This window comes from Homo sapiens, chromosome 8, assembly GCF_000001405.40.
Source record: "Homo sapiens chromosome 8, GRCh38.p14 Primary Assembly".
Taxonomy (NCBI): domain Eukaryota; kingdom Metazoa; phylum Chordata; class Mammalia; order Primates; family Hominidae; genus Homo; species Homo sapiens.
Window position 1 is genome coordinate 76,965,301 of NC_000008.11, and position 10,888 is coordinate 76,976,188.

The 10,888-nt window shown below is 38.6% G+C and overlaps 1 non-coding gene across 1 annotated transcript; it reads right to left on the reverse strand.

The window, feature by feature from the left end:
* Positions 1-1,467: 1,467 nt before the first annotated feature.
* Positions 1,468-1,550, reverse strand: MIR3149 (microRNA 3149). The gene has a single exon (NR_130460.1). It is a non-coding gene; the product is annotated as a microRNA 3149 (primary transcript).
* Between the last annotated feature and the right edge of the window lie 9,338 nt (positions 1,551-10,888).

The window sequence follows — 10,888 nt, forward strand, 5'->3', positions numbered from 1 at the left end:
TAATAGATAAGAAAAACTACATGTTTTTACAGCATGGTTTATTTAGTGTATCTCCTTTGAGAGATTTTTGGTTGTTGGCAATTTTCACCATAGTAAATAGAGATGCACATCCTGGTAAATAAATCCCTCTATTAGTAGTATTAAATTATAGAACTATAATTTCTTGTGAAAAAGGAGGCATTTTCTAAAGCTGCTGATGCATATAACCAATCTGCTCTCCAAAAAAATTTACACTGATACAGTAGTTTAAGAAGATGCTAGCTTCTCTATACTCTCAACAATACTTGGTATTTTTATTAAAAAATCACCACCAGAAAGTAGCTTTGCCAATATGTAAGTTAAAATTAGCATCTCCAGTGTTTTCCCTTTCCCTTGATATTCATTCTTCTAGTCATTCAACAAGTAATTATTGAGTATGACCATGGATGAGGCACAATGTTGAGTCCTGAGAAAACAATAATAACTCTTCCCTTTCTGAATCACTATTCTCCCTTTCTTGAGTCAAAGAAAGTCTGGACAAGGGCTTTTCCTCTCAAGTATCCAAGTATCTCAAGAATATACTATATCTCTCCTATTTCTCAATTATATCTACTCAGGACATTCTAGTTGGTTTCTATTCTCATATCGCCCCTACTTTAAGTGGTAGTTCCATATGCATGACCTTTTTTTGAAATTTTTTTGACACAATTCTGATTTTTGTTGAAAGCAGTGTATTGCAGAGGGTATGGACAAGCCAGTTAAACAATGAGCCTCTGGTAGCAATTGTGAGATAAAATTGAAGGGCGATTGGGTGTTGTAGAAAGAGGGTAGATTTTGCATCAGAAAGACCTTAGTTCTCACCCTTGCTGTGTATGTAACCTTGGGAAAATTACTTAGTTGCCTCTTTTGTAAAGAGTGGCTTATAACACATCTCAGAATAAAAAGTTCTAAAAGGGTACCAGCCACCTGGTAGAATGATGAATTTTTGGTTCATTTCGGCCAAAATTTGTTTGCTACTTGGTCTGTCCTCTTTCAACAGCCTTTTCTCTAGTTTTGTTTCCCTTTTTCTTCCAAGGCATCCTTAGCCTTTCCTAGTGGCCCTGGAAAAATCTCAATTTGGGATTACCAGCCTGGGCTTTCTTTCCTAAAGGATGTCTTATGTTATGACTCCATCTTCACCTTGTTCTTGCATAAAATTCTTTTCTCACGGGACCCTGTTTTCCATAGTGATTAACTAGTTTTCAGGGAAACTGTGAGTTTCTTAAGGGCAGAAAACATGTCCTGTATTTACTGTCTTTGCATCCTTGATGCTTACCTAGCAGTGTCTGGCAGACTGTGAGTCCTTGATGATTATCTGTTGAATGAATGACTACTCATCTAAACTTGGATGTTAGGGGCTCAGGTGTTAAATCTCAAGAACTTATATACTCTTAAGATATTCTTAAATGTTATTGTTTTCAGACATGAGGAAATCTGTCGGTTCTGTGTATACACACACATACACACACATATCCATACAAACATATATATATGTATGTGTGTGGATGACATGTGTGTGTACATGTATGTATATCCCATTTTGATGTCCTTTTTAAATTTCTTTACCTGAAGATATCCTACATACCTCAAGACTAAACCGAAATATCTTTGTCCCTGGAAGGCCTCTACAGGTCTCTGATGAAATAAATCACTCATTTCTCAATGCTCTCCAAGCACTTTGTCTATTTACTCCCATTGCCTTTTCCTTTGGTAGACTCTAATCTTTGGATTCTTAATGCCCAACATACTGAAAAAAAAATATTGAAAAAAGTGTTCACTAATCATTTGGCTGAATGAGGAGGGAGGCTAGGCTTAATCATTCATGTGGTCTTAAGTTTTAGCTTGTATAAAGGAGAAGCCAGTTTACAATGAACTTAGAGGGCCAGATGCAGTGGCTCACACTTATAGTCCCAGCACTTTGGGAGGCCGAGGCGGATTGCTTAAGGCCAGGAGTTCAAGACCAGCCTCTGTAACATGGCAAGACCCCCGCCTCTAAAAAAAATAATAAAAATAAAATGAACATGAATTTAGAGGATAGTAAGTAAAAAGAGGTAATGTGTAAAAAATAATTAGTGGTTAGGGAGATGAGGAAATAGAATAGATTTTGATTGGTGGTTCTATAGTTTACGGATGTATGTGTCCGAGCCACCTTTCTCCCACTCCAGCTGCCTCTAATCTCTGACTGGTGCTGGCAGGAAATCCACAACAGAAGGCAGCACATTGCATGGAATTTACGTTATAGATAATGCTCTGCCCTTATAGACATACTACTTTCAATTGATGATTAAATGCCAGGAACCATGGCAGAGCTAAGGGCAGATATTTATACCTCTAAAACACAAGCGGAGACCTCTGCATAGGAGTGGCCCTGCAGAGACCAAGTCCATGGGCATTACTTACTTAACTCATTAAAGGAAATACGTGGGTAACCAGAGCTGCAATGGAAGGCAGAGGAGTAAATAAGGACCAGCTTCAGAACCAAACTGGTTATCTTGAAAATCTATCACTTCACCCTTGCAATAGCTCATAACTCTGTATTGTAAGTAAATTCAATTATCATGCTTTTGATTCAACCTTTCAATCCAAGGACGATGTTCTTAAAAAAATTGGACTTTAATTTCATAAGCCTTCTAGGAGATGTTTAATCTTCTGAGAGAAGTCTTTTGTACTTCTGAGAAATTTTCATTTATCATATATGTCCTTAGACCATCACTGAGTCTGCAGGCTTTCCCCCACTCTTATCTCCATATTTTATACTGAATACCTATCTTCCACTTCTCAACCTTGAAACATTAGACAAAACCACACTCAAGTTATCAGTGGAAGAAATCTACCTGAGGAAAATTCTCGGGAGCTCCATTAATTGACAGATGGACACTTCCTGAATTTCCCCCAGCCCTCTGCCTGACTTCCTTACTCTGGGGTAAAAAAACAGTGAATTTAAGCACGATTGAAGAAAAAGGATTTAGGTTTGGGAAAACTTTTGTTTCTCTTAATATTTCTGCTTTGATTCCAGGGAAAAGAATGAATGTCATTGTTTCAAATACGAAGAAATCTGTTGGTTTTGAATTTGCTACCAGTTATCCACCCATGTGTGGAATCAACATATATAGGAAAGAAAAGGAGTCTGACTTCTTAATTTTAAAAAAATAAAACCAATGAGACAGCAAGTGATATTCAATCCTATTAAAGAGACTAAGCACAGACCTTTTAAAAAGTCCTTATGTTCCTGGCATTGGGATTGTGTGATATGGCTCCACAATTCAGGAGGACTGGAAATTACAGAACATCTGCAATGAAATTGGTTTTCTGTGGAAAACTGATGAATCACTTACTGCCAATGACTAGAAGGAAAAGCACTTGCTTATGCCCTTATGTAATGAATTTTTATGAGGTGAAGTTTGCTGTTTATAAAAAATACTTTACGCTGCTGTAGATGTAAAATAATAGAATTCAGAATTCAGAGCAATGCATTATTGCAAAGACAGTCACCAGCAGAATATTATCTGCTTACAAAACACCAAAACAGGGCTATTACTTTTATAATGGAATTAAAAAAAAACAAACTTCATCTACCCAGTTGGATTCTAGAAGAAAAAAGTATTTAAAGAGACATAGCTAAAATTGACAGCTCTGAAATTGCATGTATTTTCAAAGCAAAGTTATTAATTCTCTTATTGTGCTCTTGAATTCCAACTGTTTTTCTCAAAGCAAGAATGCCACAGGATATTTTAAATTAATAATGGCAATCCTAAGATACACTACAAACCTGAGGTGTGGCCTTTCCACAACATTATATACATGCATATAGAATTCTCCCTACGCTAATACCATCAGCTGCTCTGCTCAATCTTTGTGAACGGCTTGATGATCAAACTTCAAACTCTCTTGGTTTCTACAGACATTTACAGAGCATCTGTATTGTGTCAGTCGGTTTTTGGCTGTAGTGCCACAAAAATGAGAAAGATACAGTTTCTGTCCTTACTGAGCTGAAAGGCTATTTTGCTGTTTGAGAGAATCATCAAGTTGAACTGAGAAATATTCCACTAGGTCTGAGAAGGAAAACTAAGAAATAATGCTCACGATATTGGATGAGGATCCTTGCTCTTAAATTTTTTTTTTTGACCTCTATATTTAGTCTAGAACTAAGTATTTTTAAAGCAAGTAATTATAATTTCAATTAGTGAAAAAAATTGTAGTATTTTATTATTTTTGGTGACTAGAAAGGCACTCTTACAAATTGGCATGGATTTAAAATAGAGGCTGTCAGGAGAGGATGATATTTTCTGAGTGTATGGTGAGATATATTTACCAAGGAACCATTCTGAAAACCTCAAGAACAGTAAAGACTTCAGCTCCAATAATTCAGAATTGCGACTATTTATTTTATATATTTTCTTGACAAAGAGTCTTGCTCTGTTGCCCAGGATGGAGTGCATTGACGTGATCTCAGGTCACTGCAACCTCCGCCTCCCAAGTTCAAGCACTTTTCCTGCCTCCGCCTCCCAAGTAGCTGGGAAAGGTGTACACCACCACACCCAGCTAATTTTTACATTTTTTAGTAGAGACGGGGTTTTGCCATGTTGGTCAGGCTGGTCTCAAGCTCCTGACCTCAGGTGATCCACCCACCTCGGCCTCCCAGAGTGCTGGGATTACAGGCTTGAGCCATGGCGCCTGACCAACTGTGACTATTTAGATTAGGTCTCAGTTGAGATTCAAGTTTGCATTGTCTCTTATTGGCAGCCAAACCATAACAATACTCAGAAACGTCGACATTTTGTGTTGATATCTGGAAGAAATACAAAATCCTAGGTCAGACCCTGTATCTTAGATTCTTAGTTGTGGAAATATAGTGACTTTACAAGCTTAGGCAGTTGACAATATTAAATATTCACGTCAATTTTTCAGATCTGGTGTATTAGCTCTAGACTTTCCTACATACTTCTAAGTGATTAAAATGCATATATAGTATGGAGTTAGATATTTAATATGTAATTTAAGACATATGAAATAATTCAGACTTTCTACAGTTGTGATTGGCTATAAAGGCAGGTTTTATTTAATGCAAAAATAGGTACTATAGTAATTTAGAATCTTTTACCTCCTAAATTATCTCACATCAAAAAACTTGTTTACAAGTTGTGAAGATGTTTTATCTTTGGATTAACTGAAACAAAACTGGTCATGAAATTTTAAAGAAATAACCTGTTTGGGTCTTATTAAAAATAATTATATGCTCATTGTAGAAAATTTGGGAAATACAGAAAAACATAAAAAAGAAAATCAAAATTTGATTACTGAGAGGTATTTGTTGTTAGTAAAACATATTATGTACCTATTTATCTCATTGGTGAGGTCATAGTGTACTTAATTTAGTATCCTATTTCTTTAATTTAGTATTACATTATGAGCACTTTCTCATGTAATTAAAAATATTCATAAATATTTCTGCAAGAAATTATTTCCTGTTGTATTTGTATTACATTATTTTAGTCAACTAAATTGCTACACTATTTTATTTATTTCCCTATTGTTGAGCGTTTATGTTGTTTCACATCTTTCTTTATTATGAATAGTCTGGCACTAAACATTATCATTTCCTTCAGATAGATCTCTTGAAGTTAATAAATATAAACATGTCCACATCCACTCGATTTTGAAAATCAGTTTTACTTAACTAAGTAGATATACAATTTATTGGTTCTGAGGTTTCAGCGTAGACATAAGTTGAACCTGTTAATGAGAATATATTATTCTGCTGCTAATGAGAAGGGAAGTGAACTACCTACAGAATACTACACTTATGGATCTCCTGGCCTCAAAAGTGACTTCTCTCAACTTTATTTGACTTTTTATAGTTTCCAGAATAACAACTCAATTCAGGATTAGGTAAAAGAAATTATACAAAATGATGCTTACTTTATTTTTTCCCAACATTTTAAAACTATAAGCTTTTTTTTTTCTTTTTTGGAAAAGAGGGGAAATAAAAGACTACCTGGAAACATGAAGGCATATTCTCATATTCTGTCTTGTTTCATGATTTACATACTCTTTGAAAGATAAAAGAAATAGACATTAAAAAAAGTTGATTTTGTTCCCCCCAAGACGGGGGATTAGAGATTTTTAGTGCACCTCAGCCACTTGGAAATAGCAAGACAGTGCATAAAGACCAACTCTGTCAGCTTTAATTCAAGAAGGAAAGTAGGAATCCATACAAATTGTGAAGGACACCTCAGATTCTGATTTTATCAGTGTCCGGCTGATAAAAATGAGTGACCCCCAGTATGTGAAAGAAGCAGAGGGCCTCCCTCTGTAACTGACCTTTCCACTGCAGATTCAAGAAACCCAGGCCAAGGGAGAGCACTTTGCTTCTCCCAAAGCCAAGAGCTAACTTGGGGAGAGGCTTGGAGACTTTGTAAGGAAAAGACATTGGGAAAGCTGCAGGCATTTTCCCACACCCAGGACTGAGAGCAGAATGCCATTTTTGATCAGGGTGCATACAAAGTCACAGGCATTATTTGGTGACCTAGCAGCATAGCCATGCAGGCATTGCATCAGGCCAGAGACTGGAGCACCTGCTCTGGAGCAGAGTAGGGACTCCACAGCCAGAATTGTGGAAAGTGCCTCAGCAGTAGGTACTGGAATTGTGGTCTCCCCTGTTGCAGGCCTGAGGTAGGAGGAGATCTGGTACAGCTGCAGTTTCTCCTGGATGACAAGACTTGCAGCCAGTGCCAGCTTGGCAACCTGGAACTGGTCTGCATGTGTTACTGCTGGGTGCCCTCCCTGCTCTCCTGAGATTGTGGTGCAGTGGGGCCTGTTCCACTCCACCCCAAGGCAAAAATCTAGGCATCTGGAGCACCTACGTGCCTGGACCAGTAGCTTGGCTACCCCATCGTTCATGGACGTAGATTGTGGTAGAATAGGGCCCTTTCTGCTCCATGCCCAGGCAGATCTCCAGCTATTCAGAGCACTCCCAAGCCTGAATCAACAGCCTGAGCTGTCCCACCCTTCCAATGCATAGATCACGGTGTGGGTGGGGGGCAGCAGGGCTGTTTATACACAGGCAGATCTCCAGAGATTAGGAGCACATGCTCCCCTGGTTCAGCAGCTTAAATTGCCTCATGCTTTCTAGGCATAGATCATGGTACAGTGGGGCCCTCTCTGCTCCACATGTAGACAGATCCCCAGGCATTTGGAGTACCTGCTCACCTGAACCAGCGGCCTGAGCTAGCCCACTCCTCCTGGGCAGAGATTCTGGTACAGTGAGGCCCTCTCTGCTCCCTACCCAGGCAGATCTCCAGGCATCTGGAGCACCCACTCTCATGGACAGGGAGTTTAGGCTGCCCCTATCCCCTGTGCAGAGAACCTGGGGCTGAGGAAGTTTCCCAGCTCCATGCCTACGCATGCCTCTGGGTACCTGGTGACTTTGCAATGGATTCTCCCTTGGTACTGTTGCATGTGCATGCCATCAAGGGGCCTGCAGGCAGACCTGTCTAGTCCAGCCCTGACCATCTTGGCCCCCACCCCACTGGGGCTAAGGAGGGAGCTCAGATCCCTGTGTACTCTGTGAATAAGCCCATTGCCTGAGGCAACAGAGCTTCTCCCAGCATACAATGATCAAGTATATATCCAGCTGTGTTGGCCCAAACTGGCTCTTACCCATAAGCACCATCCACGGGCTCTTAGGTTGAACTGCACAGCCCAATATAAAACCTGACAACAGAAGTGCCTATTAGGGCAATAGAAGCAAAGCCAGAAGATCCTACATAGCATTCTCTACAGTGATACCACTTAGGGAGCAGGGGAAAGGGAAAGCGGGGAAAAAAAAATTATGTTGAATAGGAGTGGTGAGAGAGGGCATCCCTGTCTTGTGCCAGTTTTCAAAGGGAATGCTTCCAGTTTTTGCCCATTCAGTATGATATTGGCTGTGGGTTTGTCATAAATAGATCTTATTATTTTGAGACATATCTCATCAATACCTAATTTATTGAGAGTTTTTAGCATGAAGGGCTGTTGAATTTTGTCAAAGGCCTTTTCTGCATCTATTGAGATAATCATGTGGTTTTTGTCTTTGGTTCTGTTTATATGCTGGATTACATTTATTGATTTGTGTATGTTGAACCAGCCTTGCATCCCAGGGATGAAGCCCACTTGATCATGGTGGATAAGCTTTTTGATGTGCTGCTGGATTTGGTTCAGCAGGCAGGAGAAAGAAGGGTATTCAACTAGGAAAAGAGGAAGTCAAATTGTCCTTGTTTGCAGATGACATGATTGTATATTTAGAAAACCCCATTGTCTCAGCCCAAAATCTCCTTAAGCTGATAAGCAACTCAGGATACAAAATCAATGTGCAAAAATCACAAGCACTCTTATACAGCAATAACAGAGAGCCAAATCATGAGTGAACTCCCATTCACAATTGCTTCAAAGACAATAAAATACCTAGGAATCCACCTTACAAGGGATGTGAAAGACCTCTTCAAGGAGAACTACAAACCACTGCTCAACAAAATAAAAGAGGACACCAACAAACGGAAGAACATTCCATGCTCATGGATAGGAAGAATGAATATTGTGAAAATGGCCATACTGCCCAAGGTAATTTGTAGATTCAATGCCAACCCCATCAAGCTACCAATGACTTTCCTCACAGAATTGGAAAAAATGACTTTAAGGTTCATATGGAACCAAAAAAGAGCCTGCATTGCCAAGATAATCCTAAGCCAAAAGAACTAAGTTGGAGGCATCATGCTACCTGACTTCAAACTATACTACAAGGCTTCAGTAACCAAAACAGCATGGTACTGGTACCAAAACAGAGATATAGACCTATGGAACAGAACAGAGCCCTCAGAAATAATACCACACATCTACAACCATCTGATCTTTGACAAACCTGAGAAAAACAAGAAATGGGGAAAGGATTCCCTATTTAATAAATGGTGCTGGGAAAACTGGCTAGCCATATGTAGAAAGCTGAAACTGGATCCCTTCCTAACACCTTACACAAAAATCAATTCACGATGGATTAAAGACTTAAATGTTAGACCTAAAAACATAAAAGCCCTAGAGGAAAACCTAGGCAATAACATTCAGGACATAGGCATGGGCAAGGACTTCATTACTAAAACACCAAAAGCAATGGCAACAAAAGCCAAAATAGACAAATGTGATCTAATTAAACTAAAGAGCTTCTGCACAGCAAAAGAAACTACCATCAAAGCGAACAGGCAACCTACAGAATGGGAGAAAATTTTTGCAATCTACTCATCTGACAAAGGGCTAATATCCAGAATCTACAAAGACCTCAAACAAATTTACAAGTAAAAAAAAAACAACCCCATCAAAAAGTGGGCAAAGGATATGAACAGATACTTCTCAAAAGAAGACATTTATGCAGCCAAAAGACACAAGAAAAAATGCTCCTCATCACTGACCATCAGATAAATGCAAATCAAAACCACAATGAGATACCATCTCACACCAGTTAGAATGGCGATCATTAAAAAGTCAGGAAACAAGAGGTGCTGGAGAGGATGTGGAGAAATAGGAACACTTTTACACTGTTGCTGGGACTGTAAACTAGTTCAACCATTGTGGAAGACAGCGTGGTGATTCCTCAAGGATCTAGAACTAGAAATACCATTTGACCCAGCCATCCCATTACTGGGTATATACCCAAAGGATTATAAATCATGCTTCTATAAAGACACATGCATACGTATGTTTACTGCAGCACTATTCACAATAGCAAAGACTTGGAACCAACCCAAATGTCACCACTCCTATTCAATATAGTATTGGAAGTCCTTGCCAGAGCAATCAGGCAAGAGAAAGAAAAGGCATCTAAATAGGAAAAGAAGAGTGAAACTATTATCTCTTTGCTGATGATACAATTCTAAATCCAGAAAACCCAAAAGTCTCTGCCAAAAGGTTCCTCGAACTGATAACAGACTTCAGCAAAGTTTCAGGATACAAAATCAATGTACAAAAATCAGTAGCATTTCTATACACCATAACATTCAAGCTGAGCACCAAATCAAGACTACAATCCCATTCGTAATAGATGCAAAAATAAAAATAAAAATAAAAAACCTAGGAATACATCTAACCAAGGAGGTGAAAGAGCTCTATAAGAACTACAAAACACTGCTGAAAGAAATCACAGGTGATACAAATAAATGAAAAAACATTCCATGCTCCTGGATGAGAAGAATCAATATTGCTAAAAAGGCCATACTCCTAGCCCAAAGTAATCTACAGATTCAGTACTATTCCTATTGAGCTACCAATGTCATTTTTTAAATATAACTACAAAAAGGTATTCTAAAATTCATAGGGAACAACAACAAAAAAAGAGCCCAAATAGCCAAAGCAATTCTGAGCAAAATGAACAAAGTTGGAGGCATCATATTACTTGACGTCGAACTATATTATAAGGTGATGGTAACCAAAAGAGCATGGTACTGCTACAAAAACAGACACAAAGACCAATGTTATGGAACAGACAGCAGAGAAATAAAGTCACACACCTACACCCATTCTTTGACAAAGTTGGCAACAATAAACAATGGGGAAAGGACTTCCTATTCAATAAATGGTGCTGAGAAAGCTGTCTAGCCATGTGTAGAAAAATGAAACTGAACCCCTACATTTCACCATACACAAAAATTAAGTCAATATGGATTAAAGATTTAAATGTAAGATCTCATTTTAAGAATCCTATAAGAAAACCTAGGAAACACCATTCTGGACATCAGCTTTGGGCAAGAATTTATGACTAAGTCCTCAAAAGCAATTGCAACAAAAACAAAAATTGACAAGTGGGACCTAATTAAACCGAAGAGCTTCTGTACAGCAAAAGAAACTA